At 51.9% G+C, this 25926-nt stretch overlaps 2 protein-coding genes and 2 long non-coding RNA genes across 19 annotated transcripts, besides 11 other annotated features; 2 read left to right on the top strand and 2 right to left on the bottom strand.

The window, feature by feature from the left end:
* Positions 2594-2773: an enhancer, noted in NCBI's record as "active region_4809". NCBI's record gives its function as "activates an Ori minimal core promoter by ATAC-STARR-seq in GM12878 lymphoblastoid cells {active_cell/tissue: GM12878}" and the evidence as "EXISTENCE:reporter gene assay evidence [ECO:0000049][PMID:35858748]".
* Positions 3191-3950: a transcriptional cis regulatory region, noted in NCBI's record as "candidate enhancer chr11.2761 targeted for multiplex CRISPR interference". NCBI's record gives its function as "positively regulates FTH1 gene expression with high confidence in K562 cells {active_cell/tissue: K562}" and the evidence as "EXISTENCE:mutant phenotype evidence [ECO:0000015][PMID:30612741]".
* Positions 3385-3679: an enhancer, noted in NCBI's record as "tiled region #1015; HepG2 Activating DNase unmatched - State 1:Tss, and K562 Activating DNase unmatched - State 5:Enh". NCBI's record gives its function as "activates a minimal TATA promoter and a strong SV40 promoter by Sharpr-MPRA in HepG2 and K562 cells {active_cell/tissue: HepG2 | K562}" and the evidence as "EXISTENCE:reporter gene assay evidence [ECO:0000049][PMID:27701403]".
* Positions 3434-3945: a transcriptional cis regulatory region, noted in NCBI's record as "TAD5.SE3.HS4 sgRNA1-sgRNA4 range targeted for Mosaic-seq CRISPR perturbation". NCBI's record gives its function as "positively regulates FTH1 gene expression in K562 erythroleukemia cells {active_cell/tissue: K562}" and the evidence as "EXISTENCE:mutant phenotype evidence [ECO:0000015][PMID:28416141]".
* Positions 3437-3581: an enhancer, noted in NCBI's record as "145 bp enhancer 20 fragment used in the MPRA reporter construct; PK_construct_3500". NCBI's record gives its function as "activates an SV40 promoter by MPRA in HepG2 and K562 cells {active_cell/tissue: HepG2 | K562}" and the evidence as "EXISTENCE:reporter gene assay evidence [ECO:0000049][PMID:23512712]".
* Positions 3504-3514: a transcriptional cis regulatory region, noted in NCBI's record as "NFE2L2 motif; MPRA enhancer 20 activity is reduced when this motif is scrambled". NCBI's record gives its function as "necessary for full MPRA enhancer 20 activity {active_cell/tissue: HepG2 | K562}" and the evidence as "EXISTENCE:site-directed mutagenesis evidence [ECO:0005528][PMID:23512712]".
* Positions 6677-8262, bottom strand: LOC399900 (uncharacterized). The gene has a single exon (NR_187560.1). It is a non-coding gene; the product is annotated as an uncharacterized LOC399900 (long non-coding RNA).
* Positions 6816-6865: an enhancer, noted in NCBI's record as "active region_4808". NCBI's record gives its function as "activates an Ori minimal core promoter by ATAC-STARR-seq in GM12878 lymphoblastoid cells {active_cell/tissue: GM12878}" and the evidence as "EXISTENCE:reporter gene assay evidence [ECO:0000049][PMID:35858748]".
* Positions 6986-7055: an enhancer, noted in NCBI's record as "active region_4807". NCBI's record gives its function as "activates an Ori minimal core promoter by ATAC-STARR-seq in GM12878 lymphoblastoid cells {active_cell/tissue: GM12878}" and the evidence as "EXISTENCE:reporter gene assay evidence [ECO:0000049][PMID:35858748]".
* Positions 7576-7925: a silencer, noted in NCBI's record as "silent region_3410". NCBI's record gives its function as "represses an Ori minimal core promoter by ATAC-STARR-seq in GM12878 lymphoblastoid cells {active_cell/tissue: GM12878}" and the evidence as "EXISTENCE:reporter gene assay evidence [ECO:0000049][PMID:35858748]".
* On the top strand, positions 7922-11271 carry FTH1 (ferritin heavy chain 1). Its single transcript, NM_002032.3, has 4 exons — positions 7922-8244; positions 10041-10187; positions 10444-10569; positions 10665-11271. Exons 1-4 carry the CDS (start codon positions 8131-8133, stop codon positions 10827-10829), a joined length of 552 nt encoding a protein of 183 aa, NP_002023.2. The 5' UTR covers positions 7922-8130; the 3' UTR covers positions 10830-11271.
* Positions 8196-8395: a silencer, noted in NCBI's record as "silent region_3409". NCBI's record gives its function as "represses an Ori minimal core promoter by ATAC-STARR-seq in GM12878 lymphoblastoid cells {active_cell/tissue: GM12878}" and the evidence as "EXISTENCE:reporter gene assay evidence [ECO:0000049][PMID:35858748]".
* Positions 9687-9916: an enhancer, noted in NCBI's record as "active region_4806". NCBI's record gives its function as "activates an Ori minimal core promoter by ATAC-STARR-seq in GM12878 lymphoblastoid cells {active_cell/tissue: GM12878}" and the evidence as "EXISTENCE:reporter gene assay evidence [ECO:0000049][PMID:35858748]".
* On the bottom strand, positions 10041-25735 carry BEST1 (bestrophin 1). 16 transcript variants are annotated; one of them, NR_134580.2, is made up of 11 exons: positions 25129-25205; positions 23598-23785; positions 20355-20449; positions 19605-19838; positions 18558-18712; positions 18092-18169; positions 17055-17410; positions 15978-16058; positions 15513-15664; positions 12663-13301; positions 11095-11452 (listed from the first exon to the last, which is right to left on the bottom strand). NR_134580.2 is itself a non-coding variant. In NM_004183.4 (11 exons), the coding sequence occupies exons 2-11, from the start codon at positions 23747-23749 to the stop codon at positions 11434-11436; spliced, it is 1758 nt and encodes a 585-aa protein (NP_004174.1). In that variant the 5' UTR covers positions 23750-23785; positions 25129-25205; the 3' UTR covers positions 11095-11433. The 16 variants fall into 16 exon arrangements, 15 of the variants coding, with proteins under 15 accessions (XP_005274278.1, NP_004174.1, NP_001350521.1 ...); NM_004183.4 differs by having other exon boundaries at positions 17258-17410; NM_001363592.2 differs by having other exon boundaries at positions 11095-13301.
* On the top strand, positions 15664-21637 carry LOC107984334 (uncharacterized). The gene is made up of 2 exons (XR_001748245.2): positions 15664-15824; positions 17024-21637. It is a non-coding gene; the product is annotated as an uncharacterized LOC107984334 (long non-coding RNA).

The following is a 25926-nucleotide window of genomic DNA, read 5'->3' as shown; positions in this document are numbered from 1 at the left end:
TCCAGCCTAGGTAACACAGCAAGACTGTCAAAAAAACAAAAAACCTATGAGGCACGGGGTAGTGGTGGGGCAGCCTAACGCTCAGCAACAGGAAAGATGAATAAGAGTTGGGCTAAGAGCTAAGTCCAAGTTAAATCCAGCCCATATTTGTCGGTAGTCTGGGAGCCTGTGAAACTGTGAGTACTTTGCCAGGTGCTGAGGTGGGAAAGGCAAAGGCATGGCCAAGATAAACAGGGCAGAGGTTCCCTTGCTGTGGGGGAGGTGGGTATGGAGCAGGTCACTGTAATACTGCGTGGCAGTGGAGACCACGCGCTCGGAGTGCTGGAGGGCACAAAGAATGGAAATTCTCAGCTCTGCGGGGCAGTGCAGGGAGCTTTGGGAGCATATTTGAGCCCGGTGTTGAAGGCTGGGTACTTTTTCATGCAGAAGAGTGAGGGGCAGGCCGTCTGGGCAGATCAAACAGCTGTGCCAAGTCCCAAGGTGTGAGGGGAACCCTGGAGGGCTAGAGAGAAGCCTGGGGGTGAGTGGCTGGGCCATACCCTGGAATTACAATTATATCCCAAGGGCAGTGGAGAGCACTTAAGGAGTTTTATTTTATTTTTTATTTTTTTTAGAGACAAGGTTTGGCTCTGTCGCCCAGGCTGGAGTGCAGTGGCACAATCATTGCTGACTGCAGCTTCGAATTCCTGGGCTCAAGCAATCCTCCTCCCTCAGCCTCCTGAATAGCTGGGACTACAGGCCTGTGCCATCATACCCGGCTAATTTTTGTGTTTTTTTTTTTTTGGAGAGAGAGGGACTTGCTATGTCACCCAGGCTGGTCTCAAACTCCTGGGCTCAAGCAATCCTCTTCCCTCAGCCTCCTGAATAGCTGGGACTACAGGCCTGTGCCATCATACCCGGCTAATTTTTGTGTTTTTTTTTGGAGAGAGAGGGACTTGCTATGTCACCCAGGCTGGTCTCAAACTCCTGGGCTCAAGCAATCCTCCTCCCTCAGCCTCCTGAATAGCTGGGACTACAGGCCTGTGCCATCATACCTGGCTAATTTTTGTGTTTTTTTTTTGGAGAGAGAGGGACTTGCTATGTCACCCAGGCTGGTCTCAAACTCCTGGGCTCAAGCAATCCTCCTCCCTCAGCCTCCTGAATAGCTGGGACTACAGGCCTGTGCCATCATACCCGGCTAATTTTTGTGTTTTTTTTGGAGAGAGAGGGACTTGCTATGTCACCCAGGCTGGTCTCAAACTCCTGGGCTCAAGCAATCAACCCACCTCGGCCTCCAAAGTACTGGGATTACAGGTGTGAGCCACTGTACCGGCCTCCTTTAAGGAGTTGTAATCACAAAGTGCTTATCTTTGTATTTCATAATGCTGGGACAGACAGAAAAGAGACAAATTAGAGAGAGTGGGACTGCAGGAGGTGGTAGAGGCAGGAAATAGGGAGCCTGGGACAGTGGGAACAGCCACAGGCTGGAGGGAGGCCTCATCCATGCTGAGGGTGAGATCTTTGGGGTCCTGACCCTCTCATAGGACACTCAGGATTTCCCTCTGCTGACCGAGGCCCCATCTGCTGGCCCAGCAAGACTCACTAGCTCTCCTGGATTGTGCCCCTTCTCTGGGGGCAGGAAAGCCCTAGCCGCTCTTTCCGGCTGCTTCATTCTGCTGCCTCCCAGCTGGGTTAGTCCCTGGCTGCTGATCTCTCAGATCCTCTTGATCCCTACTCCCTCCGACCCGGTGCTCAAGGGACTGTGCTGTGCAGCCATCGTTCCCCTCCACCATAGTGAGTGTCTACACAGTGAAAACTCCTGAGGCATAGTTCCCATTTCCATGAGGAGGCACTCCCAGCCCCTGGCTGCCAAGGCCTCTGGCTGCTGAGGTCCCTGCCCAGACTTGCAAGACATTTTTCTGTTTTTTCATCCTCCTCCCAAGGCTGCTAGCCATGGCTCCCACCTGTCACCTGCGCTGAGCTGGGCCTCCCCTGATTTGGCCAGGGTGAGCACAGCTGAGCCTGGATGGGGTGATGTGGGGATGCCATGTGGCTGGGTCCCAGCTGACGGGGTGCAACGGGAACTGTGGTAAAGAGGGCGCCCAGAGCGGGTACTCAAGGTAGCATGGGAGAGGGCTGGCTTCAGATACCATAAATAATACAGGAATCAAAGTTCAGAGAGGCCACGTGGCCTCTTCACTGTGTGCATATCCCAGGGGCTCACTGGGAAGGATACAGCTGGGGACTGTTAAAGGCAAGACCCTTGATCTCCAGGAGCCGCTAGTCCAAAGGTAGAGAGCCGATGCTCTGCTGGGCATGACCATTCCAGAGAAGAGGTACAGAGCTGCAAACTGCTACAACTGGAGGGACCCCCGGGCTGTGCCAGGGTTGGGGACACAGCTTAAAACTTCAAAGTCCAGCCAGGAGGTAAACACATAGCTAGGGCATGTGATAGGGTCTCTGGCAGAAGTCTGGAGTGCAGTGAGGCCTGAGTTAGCATTCAAAAATGGGCCTTGCCTTCCATTCACAGTTGTCCTCAAACATCGCAGGCTGTGGCTCTCGTTAACCTTCTGGAAGCGGGGGATTCCAAGTACCTAGACTCTGAGTTTACATGGCCTCAAGGGTTTTCAAGAAATGATTTCAGGACAAGCTCTGTGAGTATGATTGCATCATCCAGAAATGTACCCAAATACTGATTTAGTATTGTTTTTCCTTTGGTCTGAATTTCAAAACTCGAATTTCCTGCTTTACTTCACTTCACTTCAGGGGAAATCCCAGACATTTAAAACATCAGCTCTTCAGTTAAAATACCACGTAACCCATTCTCTCCCAATCCTCATCTATGTCTCCAGCCCTGAGGTTTTTCTTTGTTGCAATCAGCCTGTGGAACGGTTTGGGGTCTGGCCTTTTCACATAGCATTCCTGCACACACACATTCCAGCAACACACTTATTAAACACACTTACTGTATTTAATGGCCATGCGGGGTTCCATCATGTGCCCTGTCCTAGTTTTCAGCTTGTGTTTCAGCCAGTGACTCTACGGCTTTGGGCAAGCCTAACCTTTTTTGGGTCTCACCTTATCTGTAAAACATGATGATTTGGAAGCTCTAACGTCCTTTCCAAAGCCTTAAAATTTGTGGGGGGTCTATGATTTCCTAGCTGTGGATCCTAAATTGTGACTACACAATAACAATCCCTAGAAGAGAAAGGGACCCAACATCTATTGAGAATTCCCCATGCGGCGGGAAGGCACTGAGCGAGGGATAGGTAGGAAAAGTGACACCTAGGCTTGCCAGCAAAAACACCATCAGAGGCCCCCCTGAGTGATCTCAGACCCCTTTGTTCCCAGTCCGGCCTCTGGACTTTGTCCCATTAGGAAATGGGGGGAGGGGGACACTCTCCCTCCCTCCCTCCCTCCCTCCCTCCCTCCCTCCACAGTGAAGCCACAGCCCTCCAGGTCTTATGACTGCTCTTCTCCTCCATGACAAAGCACTTTTTGAGCCCAAGCCCAGCCTAGCAGAGTGCTGAGTCACGGTGGGACAGCAACTCTCCACCGCAACCCCCACCACCGCCCCCTCCTGCTCCAGGATGTGCTGAACCTCCAGAAACCACCGGCTTGGCTCTTCTCTCATCTGAGGTCCCTCCCGCCACTCCTGGCCCTGGGAGGCGGCTGTCCTGGGAGACCAGCCAAACTCTCTGCTGCCTCCAAGTCACGAGGAGCTGAGCTGGAGGGTGGGGGAGGTAGAACCCTGGTCAACAAAGGTCCCAAGACCAGGCCACAGCTTCGGAAGAATCTAAAGGCTTAGACATTGCAGTTCTGACACCTCAAGTTACCAGAAAGTAGGGAACGGACACAAGCAATCATATAAACAATCATAAACACACACACACACTCACACTCCCCCACCAATAGATTTCCCTTCCATTGTTCCCAGCCAGCCTCCTCCCAATGACCTTCTACAGCACAAGCTGTCCCTCAGTCTTGCTGCGATGTTCACTGCAGCTACATGCATGTTTAGCCAAGCATGGAGCCAACACTGATTCAGGAAACCTACTCCCTGCAGCAGACCGACTTCCCTCCAGTGGGTCCGAGAGCTTCATGCTGGCTTTGTCCCCCTGGACATCCCGGAAGCCTGGAAACTCAGCACATCTAGTCCAAAACCAAGCAGGCCTTCCCCAAGGGCTTTCCCCGAAACCTTCATTTCCTCCTGTGCTCCTTGGCTCAGGGAATGGCAGCAGCAGCCAGGCCTACCAAATCATAAAGCTGAGAGATCTCTTACACACTGCCCACCCCTGGCCCCCGACTTTCGCCAATCAGTCTGTTCATTTGATCTTCTCCAGATCTGTCAAATCTGTGTTCTATCTTCTCTGCTCACTAATAACTAAGGCTGCTGCCTCCTGACTGGTGCCCAGCCCTCTAGCCTCACTCTCATCCATCCTCCACATTCAATCATGAATCCATCTGTTCATGCAACAGATACTGGGCACCAAGTAACAAGCAATTTGCAAAAAGCTGGGAGTGCAGAGACAAGACAGAAACAATGCCTGCCTTCCAGGAGCTTACCATCTACAGCACCAGCGCAGGCAATCAAAAGGGTCTCATAAGGCCAGGTGCGGTGGGTCATGCCTGTAATCCCAGCACTTTGGGAGGCCGAGGCAGGTGGATCACTTGAGGTCAGGAGTTCGAGACCAGCCTGGCCAACATGGTGAAACCCCGTCTCTATTAAAAACACAAAAATCAGCCAGGTGTGGTGGTAGGCACCTGTAGTCCCAGCTACTTGGGAGGCTGTGGCAGGAGGATCTCTTGAACCCGGGAGGTGGAGGTTGCAGTGAGCCGAGATCAAGCCACTGCACTCCAGCCTGGGCAACAAGGGCAAAACTCCATCTCAAAAAAAAAGGTGTGACACATACATAGTACTTCATTAAACATACAAATATATATTATAGTTCCTAATCTTCATCACTTACATGAGCTACAAATATCATCCCAATTTGTCATCTCTGTTTTAACCTTGTTTACAACATCTTTTGTCTTACAGCTTTTCATTTTTAAATAGGCAAACCTGCCAACTGTACTTTTACGGCTTCTGACAGCCTCAGAAGAACATTCCCTACCCCAAAATTATAAAAATAATCTTGTATATATTCTTCTCAAAACTTTATACTTTTTTTAAGGCTTGGATTTTTAATCTATCTGGAATGTATTTTTAAATACTGAGTGAGTCACTTTTCTCCACATGACTGTCAATTGTTTCAACATAATTTGTTAAACCCATTCTTTCTTCCCTAATGTGACACAACAGTTTAGCATATACCAAGTTCTCATAATAGGGGGGCAGGACTATTTTGTTGCATTAATCTAGTCATCTCTTCCTGTGCCAGTACCATACTGCTTATAGCACTTTACTGTACCTTTATTATAGCACCAAATGCAAATCTATCAACACACTGACTCCTCCAAATGAACTTTAGAATCATTTTGTGAAGTTTCAAAAAAAAAAAAAATACTGTCCCAGAGACAGTAATGGCTGAGGAAAAACAAAAACAAAAAACTGCCTCTTATGGAAATTGCAGTGAATTTATGCTTATTTGGGGAAACTGACATCTTTACAGAATGAAGATTGACCGACCATTTGGGAATATGGTACCTCTTCATTTATGCTAGGCTTTTTGAATTTTTTGTCCAGCAGTAAGCATTTATAGTTTTTTCTATATATTTCTTGTTAACTTTATTCCAAGGTACTTTAAGCTTTTGTTGTCAATGTAAGTGAAAAACATTTTTTTTTCCATTCTTTTTTCCCCATATTTTCTAACTGGTGGTTACTGTTATAAAGGAAAGCTTTGGATCCTATATATGGTGACTTTGCTATACTCTTATCCTAAGAGATTCCCAGTGTAAGGTTTCTAAAAACAAAGCTAATGAGGTGTCTCTATGCTGTCTCTAGGATCAAGTTTAACCTCTTTTTATGGAACACAACCCTGCCCGATCTTGCCCCTATTCTCCACCCTAACCAGCATCCCCCAACATAAACTGTACTTTCCAGGCCAACATTCTTTCTTTCTTTCTTTTTTTTTTTTTTTTTTGAGACGGAGTTTTGTTTTGTCTTCCAGGCTGGAGTGCAAAGGCGCGATCTCGGCTCACTGCAACCTCCGCCTCCCAGGTTCAAGCGATTCTCCTGCCTCAGCCTCCAGAATAGCTAGGATTACAGGCGCATGCCACCACGCCCGGCTAATTTTTGTATTTTCAGTAGAGAAGGGTTTAGCCATGTTAGTTAGCCAGGCTGATCTCCAACTCCGACCTCAAGTGATCCGCCCGCCTCGGCCTCCCAAAATGCTGGGATTACAGGCATGAGCCACCGCGCCCAGCCCCAGGCAACATATTTTCTTAAGGCAGCTTTAACAGGCCATGCATTTCCACATTTCCACACCTTTGCATATGCTGTTCACTCTGCTCCAAATTCCCTTCCCTGTTTCTCTCCCGCACTTCACCTTCCTTTTAACTTTTTCTTCAAACTCAGCTCACGTGTCTTGCTTAGGGAGGGCTTCCCCGACCTCCTCCTATCCCAGACTGGGTAAGGTACTCCTGGTCTAGCAGCATCCTTCTGTTTACCTTATTCTTGTAGCTCTAGCACCACTAAAACGTTTTTCCTGTAAATAACATAGGTGCATTTTTAAATGAAACCGTGAACAAGAAATCACCCTAATTCCGTCGGCAATTTATTTTAGTATTTCAGTAGAGTTGCTTTTTTAAACTAAGGTTTGGAAGTCTAGCTTCCAGCTGCAGGTTTGTGAGCATCCTGAAATTCAGTTCTTCCACCGATGCGTCAAAAGACGCGACAGAACAGTGGACCTCGAAGCCAGGACCTAGGTAAGGGCAGGGCCTAGCTCTAGCTCTGCCACCCATAAATTCACATCCACCCTGTGCCTGGGACTCAGCTTAGCCACACACACCGGCCCCACCCCTCCGGGGTCTCTTTCACCTGTCACCCGCCATTAACCCCGTCAGCTTCTCTCCAATGACACCCCAGGGTTGTCCTACAGGGCCACCGAAGCCTGAAGCTCCTGTGAGTGGGGCCGATAAGAGGCCATTTTGAAAAGTCCTCAGCATGGGCTTCGCCTTTAGATCCACGTCGTTTCTCCTTTCTAACCCGAGATGTGTCCCTTGGGTGCGAAGCGACACCAGCGATTCTCTCGGAGGCCCCGGTGGCTCACCCCCACGACTCCCCGGGGAGGCGGTCCCCATCCCTAGGGAAACCCGGCCCGCCCAGCCTTTGTTGCAGAAACCGCACACGGAGCCATATTTGCTTTCAGCCAAAGGCAGACGTGGTCGGAGGAGTCGGAAGGGCAGGGGCGGACCCGAAACCCGCCGTGCGCCCCACTTCTCCATCGCGCTCCTTCCTGGACTCTGAGGAAGAGAAAATGCGCTCGACCACCTAAGGACCGCGTCTCCACCTTCCACCTTCCCAATCATCTGCAGCTTCCCAATCTGCAGCAAGGTGTCACAAGGGCTTCTCCGCAGCTATGATTTCTAACACCATGCCCCGGGCCAGGAGCCTCAGGGTGCCCGTTCGGGAAAATGGGAGCCGAATCAGGATCACCCCATGCGCCCCCGCACCCTTCCCCCGCCGGTTCCAACGCCCGGGCGCCCCTAGACCGGGGGGGGGGTTCTGAGGTGGACTTCCTGCGCCTCCTCGCAGCTTCCCTCCAACTCCACTAAACGGGCACAGAGACGCCACCGCTGTCCCAGAGGCAGTCGGCTACCGGTCCCCGCTCCCGAGCTCCGCCAGAGCGCGCGAGGGCCTCCAGCGGCCGCCCCTCCCCCACAGCAGGGGCGGGGTCCCGCGCCCACCGGAAGGAGCGGGCTCGGGGCGGGCGGCGCTGATTGGCCGGGGCGGGCCTGACGCCGACGCGGCTATAAGAGACCACAAGCGACCCGCAGGGCCAGACGTTCTTCGCCGAGAGTCGTCGGGGTTTCCTGCTTCAACAGTGCTTGGACGGAACCCGGCGCTCGTTCCCCACCCCGGCCGGCCGCCCATAGCCAGCCCTCCGTCACCTCTTCACCGCACCCTCGGACTGCCCCAAGGCCCCCGCCGCCGCTCCAGCGCCGCGCAGCCACCGCCGCCGCCGCCGCCTCTCCTTAGTCGCCGCCATGACGACCGCGTCCACCTCGCAGGTGCGCCAGAACTACCACCAGGACTCAGAGGCCGCCATCAACCGCCAGATCAACCTGGAGCTCTACGCCTCCTACGTTTACCTGTCCATGGTGAGCGCGGGCGGGCCTAAGCGGTGGCGGGGGCCGGGCGCGGTTCCCGGGGCGCGCGCTGGGGCGGGCCGGGGGTGTGGCCACCCGCGGGCTCTCCCGCCTCCCTGCGCCCTTCTGGAAAATGGAGGCTGCTCGAGGTTTCCGAGGACTTCTCTGGCGCAGAAAGTCGGGGCAGCTGGTTCTTCTCGGCTGTACCCTGAGAATGCTCCCTCCTAGGCCAGGGCCGCCTCTGCACACCCTTCTTTTTTAAGGAGACCTTGGTGTCCTGAAATCCTGGGGTTGCAAGACTGCCAGCCTGTGTGATCAATCCTGCGGTTAGGAAGGTGGAGTTTTGCTTTCCCATCTTTTCCTCTGCCTCCGGCATTTGGCCCTAAATGCCAGCGTTTTTTGCTTAGGTATCCAGCTCCCGTCCGCCTGTGTGTGGCGGAGCTGCTGGGTAACGGTGTCGAATAGCAAACCTTGGGGGCTGGCGGGAGGTGGCTTATCTTGTGGGTAGATCCCTCTCGAGCAGCCGTATCCACCTCTCGGCTCTGCTTATCTCTAAGTCCCACTTGCTTTGAAGCATATCTCTAGGAATCGCCCCTTCTGCAGTCACCGAAGTGTCACCTGACCTTGCGCCTAGGGGACCTAATTTATCTTTTATGTATCTTACTGTAAGAGGTGTGGAGTTTGGCCTACTAATTGAACCCCCAGTTCTTGGATAAAGTCCACCGACAGTTACTGGGCAAGAAATTTTTCAGTGATCAGTGGAATCAGTTTTCCCAAATCTTGGTCTTAGGCAGTGTCGTGGGAGTCTTCCTTAGAATTGCCTTGTGATTGTCCAAACTATCCCAAGAATAAATGTGTTCCAAATGGATTTGAAAACAGGCCTGTATTTCTGTGACTGTCACTGCCTTTCACAAACACTTGACTACATCAAATGTCTAAAACTGAAAATCAAATTTTTGTGATATAACTATTATAAAAGTATGTTTACATCAACATACTGTCCACATTTGCCACCTTGCATGGGGGTTTTTAATTTGTGTGTGTGTGTGAGAGACAGAGTCTCGCTCTGTCGCCCAGGCTGGAGTGCAGTGGCGCGATCTCGGCTCACTGCAGCCTCCGCCTCCTGGGTTCAAGTGATTCTCTTACCTCAGGCTCCTGAGTAGCTGGAATTACAGGCGCACGCCACCACGCCCAGCTATTTTTTTTTATTTTTAGTAGAGACGGGGTTTCACCATGTTGACCAGGATGGTCTCGATCTGCTGACCTCGTGATCCGCCTGCCTCGGCCTCCCAAAGTGCTGGGATTACAGGCTGAGCCACCGCACCCAGCAGGGGTTTTTAATTTTATAAATAAATATGTGGTACAGCTGGCAGACTCCTGAGCTCAGTTTTAACCATGCTTTAACATGGTTAATACAGGAGCAGGGAGGAGAAAAGGACTAAGTGCAGGGTCAGTACTCCAGCGCCCTCTCATCAGACAATGAATTCTGACACTGGCTGTAAGTTTTCTGTGCAGTAATACAGATCCTTAAGACATTGCCCCAGGCAATGCCCATAATATCCTAAAGGTTCCTTGAAGTTAAGTTTCAAGGATCAAGTTTCAGTTTTCTATTTTAGAATAGAAACATTACTCTTGGGTTCAATCCAGTAGCTCATCTGCCCCCCAGTCTCCTTAGGCACTGATTCCTTCATGCTGTGCTTTGAGAAAGGAAGCCTAGGCTGACGAGACCATCTTGCCTCCCTGTAGATCGTCACAGCTACCTGTCTCTGGGGATCCCTAGTATAACACATTCAGTGTTCCCCTTTCAGTCTTACTACTTTGACCGCGATGATGTGGCTTTGAAGAACTTTGCCAAATACTTTCTTCACCAATCTCATGAGGAGAGGGAACATGCTGAGAAACTGATGAAGCTGCAGAACCAACGAGGTGGCCGAATCTTCCTTCAGGATATCAAGGTGAACAAAAGATCCTAGGGGTGTCATACTTCATCATCTGGCAGTGTTCGGGTATCAGAAATCACTTAAACTAGCAATTGCCCTTATAAAGTGATGATACACTGGGCTTTTGCCTTTTGTGCTTTTTTAGGCTTACCATCTAAACTAAATTAGGCAAATAGTAATGTCCCTTTTGCCAAAACGTGGTGGTTAGAGATGATGGGCTTGCTGACTTCTAGGTTAGTTGGTAGAGATGCATTAACCTATTCTCATTCAGAAACCAGACTGTGATGACTGGGAGAGCGGGCTGAATGCAATGGAGTGTGCATTACATTTGGAAAAAAATGTGAATCAGTCACTACTGGAACTGCACAAACTGGCCACTGACAAAAATGACCCCCATGTGAGTATTGGAACCCCAGGAAATAAATGGAGGAAATCATTTGCCTTAGGGATTGGGAAAGCTGCCCACTAACTGTCTTCCCCATTGTTTTGCAGTTGTGTGACTTCATTGAGACACATTACCTGAATGAGCAGGTGAAAGCCATCAAAGAATTGGGTGACCACGTGACCAACTTGCGCAAGATGGGAGCGCCCGAATCTGGCTTGGCGGAATATCTCTTTGACAAGCACACCCTGGGAGACAGTGATAATGAAAGCTAAGCCTCGGGCTAATTTCCCCATAGCCGTGGGGTGACTTCCCTGGTCACCAAGGCAGTGCATGCATGTTGGGGTTTCCTTTACCTTTTCTATAAGTTGTACCAAAACATCCACTTAAGTTCTTTGATTTGTACCATTCCTTCAAATAAAGAAATTTGGTACCCAGGTGTTGTCTTTGAGGTCTTGGGATGAATCAGAAATCTATCCAGGCTATCTTCCAGATTCCTTAAGTGCCGTTGTTCAGTTCTAATCACACTAATCAAAAAGAAACGAGTATTTGTATTTATTAAACTCATTAGTTTGGGCAGTATACTAAGGTGTGGCTGTCTTGGATTCAGATAGAACTAAGGGTTCCCGACTCTGAATCCAGAGTCTGAGTTAAATGTTTCCAATGGTTCAGTCTAGCTTTCACAGTTTTTATGAATAAAAGGCATTAAAGGCTGAAGTAGTCTGGGATTTTTATCTATTAAGCTAACCATTTGATTCAGGCTGTTGTAGGACATGTTCTTCAGTGTGGACAGCTGTATGGCTGTGACTGGATCAGTGTCCTGCTGGTGTACACACAGGTGAGGACCTGGCTGGCGAAGCATCCCCATTAGGAAGCAGGTTAGGAATGTGCTTCATCCCTAGTGAGAATGAAAGTATTAACAGCATAAGTATGGAAGGTCCCTTCATTTCAAATACCAAAATGTTGCAGTAGGAGGGCAAAGGTTGAGACGATCCTTTTTTTTTTTTTTTTGAGACAGTCTCACTCCGTCGCCCAGGCTGGATTGCAGTTGCTCAATCTCACTGCAACCACCACCTCCTGGGTTCAAGCAATTCTCCCCTCAACCTCCTGCGTTGGGACTACAGGCACACCACGACGCCCAGCTGATTTGTATTTTTTTTGGTAGAGATGGGGTTTCATCATGTTGGCCAGGTTGGTCTCAAACTCCTGACCTCCTGTGATCCACTTGCCTCCACACCCAGCCCAAGACAAGATTCTTAAATATTAACATCCTTTGCTGAACAGGCCACAGATGTTTGCCAAGTTCCTGTCTAGCCCTAGAAGCAAGACTGAAATTGTTGCCCTTTTAAGTTTTCAATCATAATAGCTGCGTGTTCTGACCGTGAAAGTAACTGCTTGAGAATCCAGAAAAGGGAAGTTACACTTCCTCCCACGTGATTGGGGCTGAAGTGGGGTGTTTATAATTGGGTGAAAGTGTCCAGGAAATCTGGAATAAAGGGAAATATCTGATTTTGTGACAGCTTTGGGCTGACCCCAAGGAAGCAAGAAGTATTTTGGTGAGGTTCCCAGGCAGTGAGAAAATGACCTAAGGGCGCTGGACACCCTCAACCTCACCATCTACCAGTTCCTAGGAGTGAGGCAGTTCCTGCCACCCTTTCCTGTAGTGCTTGGGTACTACCCTAAATAGTTATGGGGGAAGTGTTCATCTGTCATCCAGCTGACTGCCACCTCATGGTTTTGGGTCAGCCACCCTTGCTCAAAGTAAGTTGGGGCCAGTGATAACATCTGCTCAGCTAAGCCTGGCCTGTCAGCCCTGGGGCAGTTCTCCAGCAGCATTCTGGTCAGCACAACCTCATCTTCCTTCACCTGGTCCCAAGAAGTCTTCCGGGTGATACCAGGGTGAAGTGAGAAAAGGTCCCGAACACTTCCCTAGGATCCCTGTGAAGGTGGCCAAGTATATACCCCAAGCCAGTGCTGGGCGTAGGTCCAGTGTGCTCTGGCAGTGATGGAACCCTAGGAAATTGTGGAGGAAGGGTAGGCTCAGAGCAAGGGAAGCTGGGGTGGGGCACAGGGCAATGCAGTGCCCCTGGTTCAGGTGGAGGACAGACCTGTTTTCCAAGGCCCAATAAGGATCCATGTGATCTTTGAGTGTAGTGTGTATGTTGGTTGGTGATTGTTCCAAAGGTTCTTTGAGGTGATTTTCGGGGATCTCTGGCATATCCGTCAGGTTAAACTCCACAGTTTTCCTCCTCACTTGAGATACTTCTGGGTGCTCCATCAAGGCCCCATCGCTCTCTGAGAGCAATTCAAAACTTTTCTTGGCCCCAGAACTCACAGTCTTTAAGCTTTTGTCTTTGGTGTCTATGCCTGTGACACTGTGAAGCTTTGACGGCGCTGATGGTTCTAGGGGGAAGAACATGGGAGTGGGGCTGAGGGGCGTCTGTGGGGCACTGTAGTAGCCTGGCCTCTGATACAGTGGGGCAGACTTGAAGGCGTCCACAGCCTTAAGCTTCCAGGCCTTGTTGTCTTCCTGGCCCCTAACGTTCTGTTTGGCTGCCTTGTGGTTTTTGGGCAGGCCCTCGTGGAGAAGGGATTCCCTCTTGGGCCACAGTAGTTTGGTCCTTGAGTTTGCCCTGGGAGGATGGTGATCATGGGACTGCAGGCCTAGGAAGCGGCCAATGATGCCAGCGTGAGCATCCTCCTCGTCCTCCTGATTGGGCTGGAACTCCATCTCCTCTTTGTTCAGGCTGGAAAGAAACAGGAGATGCAGGGCTGAGCCAGTGGACAAAGGACCAACACCTGGCCTTACTTCTCCCTTACCCCCGCTCCTCTCTCTCAGTTGGCCCAAGCCAAGGCCACACCGTCTTCCTCACCATGCCCCAGCTCTCACCTCTCTCCTGATCTGTCCTGTACCTCCCGGTGATCCCTCCAGGCCCAGCTCACCTCACTGTTTGTTGATTCCCTCTTGACCAGAGTTAACATCCAACCCCCGCAACCACCCCGCCTGGCGTGTAAAGGCCTCCTCATCATTCACTTCCCCTGTAAAACCCCTCACTCCAGGCAGTCAGAAACACTGGTGCCCTGGCATGAGTGGTTCAGATGAGGCCCATGAGTGACTCTGGGCAATGCCAGGAATTTGTGGTTCCAACTGGGAGTGACATCCACAAAGAGAAATTTGACTTCCTAGCAACAGGCATCCCGGGAGCCCCAGACCTTTACCCTGCAAGGGAAAGCTTATCTACCAGAGAGTATGGCCTGCCCTTGCCCAAGTTCAGATTCTTCCCATGTTCCATGGCTCAGCTCCAGACCCAGCTGGAAGCCGCCTCCCAGGCAGACAAAGATGACTGTGTTCCATGTTCTGTCCCTTTTCTGGACATCCAGTACTTTGTACCTTGTATCCAGAGTTTGAGGCTTGGGTTTGAGCTCCCTCCATAAATTGTGCATTCCTTGGAGACAAGGTCTATGCTTTATCGTTCTGTTTTCAGCCCTCCCCACCCCTCAACAACCTTCAGCTGCTGGGGTACAGACCATGTAGGGCTCAAAGTCATCCTCCAGAAATGTTTCTGACCTAAGCAAGCCTCCAGCCTTCATTTGATCACCTTCCCAACCCTTCCTCACACTATCTATAGACTGTAGTTAAACTCGATTGCAGTCTAGTAGGATATTTGGTTCTTAAAAGAACAAGCAGCCAGGCACAGTGGCTCACACATGTAATCCCAGCACTTTGGGAGGCTGAGGAGGGTGGATCACCTGAGGTCAGGAGTTCGAGACCAGCCTGGCCAACATGGTGAAACTGTCTCTACTAAAAATACAAAAATTAGCCGGGCTTGGTGGCTGGCACCTATAATCCCAGCTACTCAGGAGGCTGAGGCAGGAGAATTGCTTGAATCTGGGAGGCGGAGGTTGCAGTGAGCCGAGATTATGCCACTGCACTCCAGCTCTGGGCAACAAGAGTGAAACTCCGTTTAAAAAAAAAAAAAGAAAAGAACAAGCGAGAACAGCACTGGATACCGTGGAAGAAACCCTTGAGTATGAACCCTGACATGTGCCCAACACTCTCCAAGGCACTTTCAACTCTGTTGTCCTGGGGAGAAAGGACCAGCTGGGATAGCCCTTCAGCCCACTGCAGCTCAAGAGGGATTCAGATGGAATCAGGGAAGTGGGACCATGTGGGGATAAGTCTGGCTGCTGTGGGTGGCCTGAGCCCTTTACTCGGTAGGACAAAGTCAATTCAGGAGGTACCTGTGATGGCCTGGCTGCCTGCTGGGACTTTGCTGCCCCTCCCCCATCCCAGGGAACCCCACTTCCACTTCCCATCCAAGCATCGTAGCTTATCAGAAAACATAGTTTTGACACCTATAATTCCAGCATTTTGGGAGGCCAAAGCGGGCAGATTACTGGTCAGGAGTTGGAGACCAGCCTGGCCAACATGGTGAAACCTCATCTCTACTAAAAGTACAAAAATTAGCCAGTTGTGGTTGTGGGCACCTGTAATCCCAGCTACTGGGGAGGCTGAAGCAGGAGAATCACTTGAACCCAGGAGGCGGAGGTTGCAGTGAGCCAAGATCACGCCACTGCGCTCCAACCTGGGCGACAGAGCGAGATACTGTCTCAAAAAGAAAAGAAAACATAGTTCTGGATGACAAGAGCCAGGTCCTAACGTTCCACTGCATCACTGATCACAGGCTGTCCTTCGAGTAGCAAATGCACCATTTGGTAGCTATGTGGCCTTGGACAACTTACTCTCTCTGAACCTGTACTTTAATTATCTGAAAACTTGGGATAACAAACCAGAATTATTGGGAGGAAAAAAATAGTTAATGTTTATAAAGAGCATAGTACAGTGCCTGACACTTACTGAAGCAACCTGTATGCATTAACTAGTGCTATTCTAAGTTCCTAGGCAGACCCCTGCACTAGGAGGGGCTTCCCACCCAGCCCCCTGGCTCTGGCCACACCTGATGTTGAAGGTGGAGCCCATAAAGGAGGCTCGACGGAACTGGGCGGAAGCAGCTGTGTAGGGGGGCTGTGGCTCGGGCTTATTCCAGTACATGTCCGGCTCCATCCGAGGCAGGTCCTGGTGCATCTCATCCACAGCCAACAGGGACACCTGGTCACCAGGGACAGAAGAAGTCCCACAGAAAGATCATCCCAGGCAGGACCTTGTATGTGCCTGATGACTTGGAGGAATCTCTCCCTCTCTCTGGACCTCAGTTTCCCTGCCTGTGAAATGGGGAGATGGGTGCCTGCCTGCAGCCTCAAAGATTGAGGTGAGAATCCTGTGAGTGAATGACTGGCTGCAGGAGGGAGGAGGGGAAGGGTTGATCATTCACTGTGAGGCCTCCCTACAGAACAGTGGGGTCCTCTCTTTGGGTCCACTTTGGGGAAGGTCCATGGTATGGTTTCTCTCCCTCTCCCCATACCTGCAAATTCCTGTCGACAATCCAGTTGGTCTCAAAATCATCATCATCCTCTCCAAAGGGGTTGATGAGCTGCTCTGCCACCTTGGGGACAGGTGAGGCTCTGTAAACCCTCAGGCAGAACTCCTCAAAGCCAGCTTCCCCCTTTAAACCTCAGCTGCTGCTATTTCCACACCCCATGACGCCCTTCCTGCCTGACCACTGTCTTCAAAGGCAGAGTTTAGGGCTCCAGCCCCCCACACTTGTGGGCACCCACACACTTCTGGACACAGCCCCTCTAACTCTTCTGAGCCAGTCCTTCCCTGAACACCCACAGCTGTCCCTGAGTGTATCACTCGGCTGAGTCACTGCCTTTATCTCACCTCATGTATCTTACCTGGAGTTGCATAATTTTATTCATTCATGCAACAGAGATATATACTGAAGCTGGGCTGAACTAAAGGGCAGTCTAGGTGGGCAGATTCCTGGATAGCAACCTCTAAAATGCCCTAACAAAGCCCCGAAGAGGTGACACGCGTCTGCCTTAGGGGTCCAGGGGACATCTTGCAGGCCACTGGGGCACCCCGGAGAATTTCAAGCATAAAAGTGTGATTTGTTTTGATCTGCAGAAACCAAAGATAACTGGGGGGGCAGGGGGAATTTAGAGGAATAGGAATGCGTGTGTGTGTGTGTGTATGTGTGTGTGTGTGTGTGTGTGTGTGTGTGTGTCACAGTGACAGGAAGGGCAGAGACAGAGACTTACACCCCCATTACCAAAAAATAAAGGAAGGTAGGAAGGGAGAGAGAGTGGGTGGGCAACAGAAGGAAGGAAAGATAAAGAGGTGGAGAGAAAACTGTGTGATTCAGAACATCTGTTCGGAGTATTGGCTGTGGTGGGAGGGAATACCTGGACAAGCCACTTGAGGTGAGGAACAAGACAGCCCAACAGGCATCTTGAATAAGGAGAGGTGGTGCCGATCTGCCTTCTAAAGGGCAGGGGCTTCTGAACCTTAGGGCTTTGTTTTGTTGTTGTTGTTGTTTTTGAGATAGAGTTTCATTCTTTTGCCCAGGCTGGAGTGCAGTGGCACGATCTCAACTCACCACAACCTCCGCCTCCCGGGTTCAAGCGATTCTCCTGCCTCAGCCTCCCGAGTAGCTGGGATTACAGGTGTGCGCCACCACGCCTGGCTGCTTTCTACCCGTGAGACCTTCCTTTCCTGACACTGCATCCTCGTCTCAGGCAGCTGCTGGCCATGACCCCTCTGGCCATGCCTCCAGCCCAGCAGGGCCCTGGAGAGGCCCACCTTCAGCCAGCCAACATAGAAGAAGAACTGCAGGAACGTGAAGACGGGCACAACGAGGTCCAGCTCATGGCCAGGGTAGGCCTTGGCTGGGTTCAGAAACTGCCGCCCAACTAGACAAGTCAGGAAGAAGCTGTACACCGCCACAGTCACCACCTGGGAGGAGGAGGAGGATGTGGTAGCAAAGGGCTAGGTGGGAACCCTGAAATCAGGATGCTCCAGGGGCTGGGAGTCTGAGACAGGAGACCAAGGCCTTGTTCTGACTTGCACACTTATGTGACTTAGGGGCTCTGTTAACCCCTTTGTTTGTTTGTTTGTTTGTTTGTTTGAGACAGAGTCTTGCTGTGTCGCCCAGGCTGGAGTGCAGTGGCATGATCTCAGCTCACTGCAACCTCCACCTCCCGGGTTCAAGCGATTCTCCTGCCTCAGCCTCCCAAGTAGCTGGGATTACAGGCGTGCACCACCACACAGCTAATTCTGTATTTTCAGTAGAGATGGGGTTTCACCATGTTGGCCAGGCTGGTCTCGAACTCCTGACCTCAGGTGATCCACCTGCCTCAGCTTCCCAAAGTGCTGGGATTACAGGCATGAGCCACTGCACCCGGCCAACCTCTCTTTAATATGGGGATAATCACATTGCCTCTACTGGACTGGGCCAGGCAGGAGCCTGGACTCTTAGAACTTGGCACTTCAAAGTCCAGACCCAACTTCAAAGTGTGGACCCAACTCCCAGGGGAGCCACTTAGCCTCTAGGTGAGCCCTTCCCACCCCAGCTGCTTCCTTGGTCCTTCTAGCCTCAGTTTCCCAAAAGGGCAGCCTCACCAGCCTAGTCCTCACCTGTGTATACACCAGTGGGATACTAATCCAGTCGTAGGCATACAGGTGTCCACACTGAGTACGCAAGGTGTTCATCTCCTGGGGGGCAGAAGAGGGGGATGGGGTTCTGAACACCACCTGCCCCCACCCTGGGCTCGCCCCCACCTCTTCTCCAGGTACCAGGGCCTGGTACCTATGGTCCATTCCTGGCTGTGTGGCCATGGGAAGCTCACTAAACCTCTTTGTGTCTCAGCTTCCTCATCTATCAAAAGGGAACCAGGACCTCACAGACTTGGAGAAGAGGGAGGGGCCTCTGAGAAGGGACCACCTCGGGCTGTGGATTGCTGTTGGAAAAGATTCTGCAACCCCACCTCAGGCTCTCGGAAGACCCTCAGGGGCCCAAGGCTTCTCTTTGTAGGAAACCTTGTTTCCTGTGGACCACAGCCCTTCCCACTCTGCGGCAGCCCTGTCTGTACAGTGGGCTCACGTTCAGCAGGCTCTGGAGCAGGATAGGGTCCCGGATTCGACCTCCAAGCCACGCCTTCATTGACAGGTTGGCAAACCACACCCAGGGCACCCAGAACATGTTGTGTGGTAGGCTCAGTTTCTCCAACTGCTTGTGTTCTGCCGGAGTCATAAAGCCTGCAGAGTGGAGTGAAGAAGGCGGTGGGTGGGAGAACCTGCAGAAGGGATGGCCGGCACCTGCTGACCTATAGGAACCTCAGCACTCCTTTGCCATCCTCTTTCTTTCAACAACAAAAAAATTTCTGAGCACCTACTAGGTGCTGTTCTGGGCTGAGCATGTGGGCAGGGTATTTATTTATTTCCAGAGAAAGGGTCTGGCTCTGTCACCGAGGTTGGAGTGCAGCGGTGCGATCTTAGCGCACTGCAGCCTGGAACTGCTGGGCTCAAGTGATCCTCCTGCCTCAGCCTCCCGATACTCAGCCTCAGACTGCAGGCACACGCCACCATGCCCTGCTAATTTTTAATGTTTTTGTAGAGATGGGGGTCTCGCTATGTTGCTCAGGGGCGTCTCAAACAGCTGGGCTCAAGCGATCTTCCCACCTTTGCCTCCTAAAGCACTGGGATTACAGGCGACAGCCACCACGCCTAGCCTGGGTCTGTCTTATTAACCAGGACCAGGTCAGGCCAGGCTGAGGGGGTGTCAGAGACCAATGTCCCATACCTCCAGAGTGGAAACCGGAGATCAAGAGGGGCAAGGGCAGAGGGAAGTAGACCCTAGTACCTCACCAGTTCCCAAGCCGTCACCCTTCTTTCCATTATCCCTCAAGGGTCCTTAGCCCTGCCTCAGACTCCTACTCTCGGAGGGTGGGCTCCTGGCCTCGCCCCACCTTCAGACACCCGACTCTGTCCCGCCCAATTGGACCCCCAAATCTTGACTACACCCCACTCCTGGCTCCACCCAATCCCCCGAGTCCGGGGGACTTTGGCTCCACCCATCTTCCATTCCTGCCGCGCCCATCTCGGCCCCTGGCTCTGCCCGGTGCCTCCCCGTTGCTCCCGGTCCGCCCACCTGCTTGCACCAGGTGCTGGGCGCTGGGGAAGCGCTTGTAGACTGCGGTGCTGACGCTGCGCAGGATGAGCACGTTGCCCAGGTTGGCGTAGCGGATGAGCGTGCGCCGCAGCAGCCGGCCTTGCTCGTCCTTGCCTTCGACGAAGCCCGACACCAGGCTCATGAGGCGGTCGGGCCACGGCAGGTTCTCGTACTGGTTCCACCAGCGGGTCACGACCAGCGTCACGTAGAAGCCTGGGCAGGAGGGGCGGGGGGCGAGGGGCGAGGGGCCAGGCTGCGGCCAGAGCCCAGGGCCCAGCGCCCGGCGATGCCTCGGCTCCTCCAGCTTTCTGCTGCGAGCGGGCCTAGCCCCCAGCCCTCCTGGAAGGCGCTCGGGAGCGAGAGGCAGGCAGAGCCTCGCATGGAGGCGCGAGAGCCCCAAGGGTTCTGTCACCCGGGGGTCCCCCTGCTGGTCCCAGAAATCCGCCAGACCCCCTCCCCTCCCGCGCAGGGGCTCCAGGGACCATGATGTCAGCGCTTCCCTCAGAAAATGGGGTTTTCATTGCTAACGGCAGGACGTCTTACCTAACGTCTAACTTCAGTTTCACTGGCTGCAGTCCGCACCTTTCCCTACAGAGAGGCGCCGACCTGCCGCTGGCGTTCCCCCGCCCCCTCCCCAGCCCCTTGCCGCAGCTCCTCGTGATCCTCCCCTGGCCTGTCTGGAGCCTGGGCGGCCACAGGGACCCGGAACAGCCAGAAGGGGGAACTCACCCAGCACGAAGGAAATGGGGATGAGCTGGATGTAGCTGTCGCAATACAGAGTCAGTTTCTCAAACATCAGCTGTTGTTCTTCCGTGAGGGCCAGCCTGGGGGTGGGGGTGGGGGTGGAATTGTGTGGACGCAGCGAGGAGATGGCTGAGACTGTCCCCAGGTCTAGCCCGGCCCTGGGTAGGAGTGGGACTGCCTCGATGCTATCCCACATTTTCCCCAGCCCAGGGCCCCTCCTGAGGCCTGAGCCAGGTCCATGATGCTCCTTGTACAGCCCCAAACCCGGACAGGAGGAGGCCCCCTCCAGTGGTTTCTTGTGGGGAGAATCCTCACACTGGCCACTGGGAGATGTGTAGGAAGGAAGGTCCTGCTGCAGAGGCCAGTTTCAGACACCCTGATCCTTTGAATGCAGCCAAGGGTCAGTTGTTTAAAAGCAGGTCGAAACAGAGTGTTTGGGACGGGCACGGTGGTTCACGCCTGTAATCCCAGAGCTCTGGGAGGCTAAGGCAGGACCAAGAGTTCAAGACCAGCCTGGGCAACATAGCAAGACCCTATCTCTACAAAAAATTAGTTGGGTGCCGTTGCCGTATGCCTGCAGTCGTAGCCACTGGAGGCTGAGATAGGAGGATCACTTCAGCCCAGGAGTTGGAGGCTGCAATGGGCTGTGATTGCCATTGCACTTCAGCCTGGGTGACAGAGCGAGACACTGTCTCTAAAAAGAAAAAAAGAAACAGAGTGTTTGGCTTTAATGAGAGGGGTGAATAGGCAGAGGATTTTGTTAGAGCAGTGAAACTACTCTGCCTGATGCTGTGATGGTGGAGACATCATTACACATTTATCCAAACCCATGGAATGTACAGCCCAAGAGTGAACCCTGCTGTACGCTATGAACTTTGGGTGATAGTGATGTGTCACTGTGGGTTCAGGGATTGTAATAAATCTACCACTGTAGTGTGGGGGTGTTGATAGTGGGGAGGCTGGGGGCAGGGGGAGGAGCAAAGAGACACATGAGAACTCTACCTTCTGCTCAATTTTGCTGTGAACCTAAAACTACTCTAAAAAATGAAGTCTGACTCTTTTTCAGCATGCATTAGTGCCCAAGTAAAAACCAAAGACCAATGTGCTTTGTATTTGGTATTAGGAGGAACTTAAGAATTTTATGTATTTGATGTTTTATAATCCATTGTAGTCATTAGTGCTTTTTCAATTTAAAATGCTATCATATATTCGGTGATTATATCTGTCCTTTATTTTATTGTTTAGATAAATGTTTTTGGTTTATTGGTTTTTGTTTGTTTGTTTGTTTGTTTGTTTGTTTTGAGATAGGGTCTTGCTCTGTTACCCAGGCTCAAGGGCAGTGGCACAGTCATGACTCACTGCAGCCTCAACCTCCTGGGCTCAAGCAATCCTCCCGCTTCAGCCTCCTGAGGAGCTGGGTGGGACTACAGGCATAAGCCACCATGCCCAGATCATTTTTTGATTTTTATTTTATTTTTAGACGGAGTCTCACTCTGTCACCTAGGCTGGAGTGCAATGGCATGGTCTCGGCTCACTGCAACCTCTGCCTCCCGGGCTCAAGCGATTCTCCGGCCTCATCCTCCTGAGTAGCTGGAACTACAGGTGCGTGCCACCCCACTCGGCTAATTTTTGTATTTTTAGTAGAGATTGGGTTCACTATGTTGGCCAGGCTGGTCTTGAACTCCTGACCTCATGATCCACCCGCCTCGGCCTCCCAAAGTGCTGGGATTACGGGTGTAAGCCAAAGGGCCTAGCCAATTTTTTAATTTTTTATAGAGACAGGATCAGGATCTCCCTATGTTGCTCAGGTCCTAAACTCCTGGGCTCAAGTGATCCTCCTGCCTTGGCCTCCCAAAGTGCTGGGATTACAGGTGTGAGCCCCTGTGGCTGGCCCTAACTTTTTTTAAAGTACCTTGGTGCCCTAGTAAAAACCAAATGTGCCTTGTTGCTAGCATTATTAAGAACACAAGAATTTCATGTATTTGATATTTTACAATCCATGTAATCATTAATGCTTTTTCAATTTAAAATGCTATCATATATTCTGTGATTATATTTTATTGTTTAGATAAACATTATTTTGTTTGCTTTTGAGATAGCCTGTCACTCAGGCTGAAGTGCAGTGGTGTGATCATAGCTCACTGCAGCCTCGACCTCACAGGCTTCAGCCATCCCCACACCTCAGCTTCCCAAGTAGCTGGGACCACAGGCAAATGCCACCACTCCCAGCTAATTTTTTAAATTTTTGGTAGAGACGGGGTCTCACTATGTTGCCCACGCTGAACTCCCAGGCTCAAGTGATCCCCGCACCTTGGCCCCTCAAAGTGCTGGGATTACAGACGCGAGTCACTGCTACTGGCCTTAGATAAACATTTTAATTAAAAAATAATTTTAAAAAATGTACCATGTGGGCTGTGCATGGTGGCTGACACCTGTAATCCCAGCACTTTGGGAGGCCGAGGTGGGTGGATCACTTGAGGTCAGGGGTTCAAGACCAGCCTGGCCAACATGATGAAACCCTGTCTCTACTAAAAATACAGAAAAAAAAAAAAATTAGCCAGGCGTGGTGGTGTGTGCCTATAATTCCAGCTACTCAGGAGGCTAAGGCAGGAGAATCGCTTGCACCTGGGAGGCAGAGGTTACAGTGAGCCAAGATTGCCCCCACTGCACTCCAGCCTGGGTGATGGAGTGAAACCCTGTCTCAAAAAAAAAAAAAAAAAAAAAAAAGTACCATGTGGTTGGTCAAGTGCAGTAGCTCACACCTGTAATCCCAGCCCCTTGGGAGGCTAAGGCAGGGGGATTGCTTGAGCCTAGGAGTTCGAGACCAGCCTGGACAACACAGTGAGACTCCATCTCTCTCTCTCTCTCTCTCTCTCTCTCTCTTTTTTAATGTACTATGTGGGCCTATGAGTCTGTGTGGGATTCAGTAAAACAGGCCAGTTGAGTGGGGCCAGACAAAGCCTGGGCTCCAGGGGTCCTCCTGGGGTTGGAGGAAGGGTGGCTAAAACCCTGCTGGCCTGGCTTGAGCAGCCTCTCAGTCTGACTTCTTTTCTCTCCCCAGCCCCCAGCCCCAGCCTCAGCTCCAGTGCCCAGGACCTGGTCAGGAGCTCAGCTTAGTCTTGTAGTGAACTGGTACACTGGCCCCTGAGCTGGCTGGGAGGCCCCCAGGAGCTCCCAGCCCCAGCCACATCCTTCCCAGGCCCCCCGGCCCAGCCCTGCCAGCTTTACCTATAAATAAAGCGGATGATGTAGTAGCAGAGCAGGAAGATTAAGAACTCGCCATATAGCAGCTTGTAGATGCTGCCCCGCCAGCACAGCAGCAGGCGGGAGAAGGAGCCTAAGCGGGCATTAGCCACTTGGCTTGTGTAAGTGATGGTCATGGCCAGGCAGTGGGCTGCAGCAGGTGGGCTTGGGTCCTGGTAGAGAGGGACACCGATTGGGGGTTTGTAGGGATCAGAGGCCCTGGTCAGAGCCTGTCAGGACCCTTCCCTGCTCTGGACCTCAACTCTCCCATAGGGACCCTAGGAGGTGGATGAAGTGGTCTCCAAGGCCCTGCCAGTTCTGACTGCCTTTTGGAAGTAGAAACGCAAGAAAGTGAGCCCAGAGGCTGCCCTTTGCTTTGGCAGGGAAGACGTAGATAGGCGTGTGCATTGCCATGTGCCTTTAACTTTCTATAATCACTGGGCGCAGTGGCTCATGCCTATAATCCCAGCACTTTGGGAAGTCGAGGCAGGTGGATCACCTAAGGTCAGGAGTTCGAGACCAGCCTGGCCAACATGGTGAAACCCTGTCTCTACTAAAAATACAAAAAAATTATCCAGGCGTGGTGCGGGTGCCTGTAATCCCAGCTACTCAGGAGGCTGAGGCAGGAGAATCGCTTGAACCCAGGAGGTGGAGGTTGCAGTGAGCTGAGATCACGCCATTGCACTCCAGCCTGGGTAAGAAGAGCAAAACTCTGTCTAAAAATAAATAAATAAATAAATAAATAATACAATGACAAAGGCAGTAACAGCAGCAATGTCTACACACTAAGCTCAGGTCCTCTGGGCTAGGCAGTGTTCTCAGCCCATCTTGTTCGTTAGCTCCCAAGCTCTCTCAACCACCCTAGTGTGAGAAGTATGGAAGGGACCAGGCAGCCCTGTCCACCACCATATTCCCATTCCCATAATGGAACCTAGCTGGTAGAGATGCTCAAATGATGTTTACTGAATGGTGGCTCCAGGGCCTTTCCACCTGCTGATCTTCCTGCCTGGAGGAAGCTCTTCCTGAGATACCTGCATGGTTCCTTCCCACTCCAGGTTCCCTTTAGAAAGGATGTTCCCAACCATCCAACCTGGAAATAGAGCCCCACTGCCACCGGTGCTCTGTGTCTCCTCACCTTGCTTGATATTTCTAGAGAGCACTTATCACTACTTGAAATTATACAGGATATCTGCCTGTTTCCTGCCTGTTTCCTCCTCAGAATGGAAGCTCCTCTTGTGTTCTCGTAGAAGGCGCTCAATAAAAATTTACTGAAGCAGTGATTGATGCCCCCTCCATTCTTTCCCTGTGTGTTTTGCTGCAGCCACACTGGCTGGCTGTGCCTGATGCACACCAAGCTCATTCCCACCTCAGGGCATTTGCACAGACACACAGGTGCCCACACACCTGCGCATGTGCTGCCTGTGTGTGCATATCCCACACAAATACGCAAGATGGCCATCCAACCCTGAAGGCCTCAAAGCCCCAGCCCAGTCCACCTGGGGCACCTTGTACTCACAGGTGGGGTTCCAGGTGGGTCCGATGATCCCACAGAAGGTCTGGCGACTAGGCTGGTGGGACTCCCTGGGACTCTGTGGCCAGTGCCCCTGCCCACTCTTAGAGGCTGGCACTGCCCACGTGAGTGCTGAGCCGCCGTCACTTGACTCCCTAAGCCAGGACCTCCACAAAGGAGTCCTTGTCTTAGTCCCTTCTTGTAATCTGCTCAGAAGCAACGGCTAGCACAGCCTGGCCATGGCCCCTCTAATTTCTTCTTGGAGGGTGTTGGGCTGAGACCAGGGCTGGAATTTAGGGCAACACCCCCTCTACCATGGCCCTAAAATCCAGAGGCTAAAGGATCTGCTCCACCAGTGTTCTGACCCCTGAGGCCTTGCAGAGAGAGTTGGGGGTTAGGGGGCTGTGCTGAGCTTCAACTTCTGTGCCAGGAACTCTCCAGGAAGGAGGAGCCTCTGACTAGGCCCTGGGGTCTTTGACAGCCCTGTGGGCTATGGAAAGAATGAATACCGGGCTGCAGTCAACAGTCCTGGTTTCTGGTCCCAGCCTTGCCACCTGTGTGTGGTGACCCCGGGTAGGTTTCAGCTCCTCTCTCAGCCTCAGTGCCCTTATCTGAAAAGGATGGTGTTGCTTGGGAATTTCATCACCCTAGTAAAATGACAGAATTCTGCATATGCTGACGAGGAGCTCTGATTGGCTGCTGGTGACATCATACGTTATTCTGGCTGTGATTGGCTGGCAGGGCCCATCAGTAAGTTGCTTCAGAGAGATGGAAGGAGAAGCCTGCCGGGGCTGGTGGAGGGGG

This window comes from Homo sapiens, chromosome 11 (assembly GCF_000001405.40).
Source record: "Homo sapiens chromosome 11, GRCh38.p14 Primary Assembly".
Lineage (NCBI taxonomy): Eukaryota > Metazoa > Chordata > Mammalia > Primates > Hominidae > Homo > Homo sapiens.
Note: the sequence above shows the minus strand (reverse complement) of the source record. Positions and strands in the feature narration are given on the sequence as shown.

Coding starts and splice junctions, on each gene's coding strand:
- FTH1 (NM_002032.3), top strand. CDS start 8,131: ATGACGACCGCGTCCACCTCGCAGGTGCGCCAGAACTACCACCAGGAC. Junction 8,245..10,040: donor CCTACGTTTACCTGTCCATG/GTGAGCGCGGGC, acceptor TTCCCCTTTCAG/TCTTACTACTTTGACCGCGA. Junction 10,570..10,664: donor CTGACAAAAATGACCCCCAT/GTGAGTATTGGA, acceptor ATTGTTTTGCAG/TTGTGTGACTTCATTGAGAC.
- BEST1 (NM_001440571.1), bottom strand. CDS start 23,749: ATGACCATCACTTACACAAGCCAAGTGGCTAATGCCCGCTTAGGCTCC. Junction 18,713..19,604: donor CCAGCACCTGGTGCAAGCAG/GTGGGCGGACCG, acceptor TCCACTCTGCAG/GCTTTATGACTCCGGCAGAA. Junction 15,665..15,977: donor TTGTCGACAGGAATTTGCAG/GTATGGGGAGAG, acceptor CCTGGTGACCAG/GTGTCCCTGTTGGCTGTGGA.